Genomic DNA, 1,202 nt, shown 5'->3' with positions numbered 1-1,202 from the left:
ACATAAAAGTGTAAAATTTTTGCTTTTTATCCTAAGCAAAAAGAACAAAGTTGGAGGCATCAAGCTACCTGACTTCAAGCTATACTACAAGGCTACAGTAACAAACACAGCATGGTACGGGTACCAAAACAGAGATATAGACAAATGGAACAGAACAGAGACCTCAGAAATAACACCACACATCTACAACCATCTGATCTTCAACAAACCTGACAAAAACAAGCAATGGGGAAAGGATTCCCTGTTTAATAAACGGTGCTGGGAAAACTGGCTACCTTTATGCAGAAAACAGAAACTGGACCCCTTCCTTACATCTTGCACAAAAATTAACTCAAGATGGATTAAAGACTTAAATGTAAAACTCAAAACCACAAACACCCTAGCAGAAAACCTAGGCAATACCATTCAGGACATAGGCATGGGCAAAGACTTCATGACTAAAACACCAAAAGCAATTGCAACAAAAGCCAAAATTGACAAATGGGGTCTAATTAAACTAGAGAGCTTCTGCACAGCAAAAGAAACTATCATCAGTGTGAACAGGCAACCTACAGAATGGGAGAAAATTTTTGCAATCTATCCACCTGGCAAAGGTCTAATATCCAAAATCTACAAGGAACTTAAACAAATTTATAAGAAAAAAACAAACATCCCCATCAAAAAGTGGGTGAAGGATATGAACAGACACTTCTCAAAAGAAGACATTTATGCAGCCAACAAACATATGAAGAAAAGCTCATTATCACTGCTCATTAGAGAAATGCAAGTCAAAACCACAATGAGATACTATCTCACGCCGGTTAGAATGGCGATTATTAAAAAGTCAGGAAACAACAGATGCTGGAGAGGATGTGGAGAAATAGGAATGCTTTTACATTGTTGGTAGAAGTGTAAATTAGTTCAAGCATTGTGGAAGACAGTGTGGTGATTCCTGCAGGATCTAGAACCAGAAATACCATTTGACTCAGCAATCCCATTACTGGGTATATACCCAAAGGATTATAAATCATTCTACTATAAAGACACATGCACATGTATGTTTATTGCAGTACTATTTACAATAGCAAAGACTTGAAGCCAACCCAAAAGTCCATCAATGATAGACTGGATAAAGAAAACGTGGCACATATACACCATGGAATATTATGCAGCCACAAAAAAGAATGAGTTCATGTCCTTTGCAGGAACATGGACGAAGCTGG

The sequence above is a fragment of the Homo sapiens genome, chromosome 2 (genome assembly GCF_000001405.40).
Source record: "Homo sapiens chromosome 2, GRCh38.p14 Primary Assembly".
Classification (NCBI taxonomy): domain Eukaryota; kingdom Metazoa; phylum Chordata; class Mammalia; order Primates; family Hominidae; genus Homo; species Homo sapiens.
The sequence above is the reverse complement of the archived record's forward strand: the minus strand, read 5'-3'. Positions refer to the sequence as shown.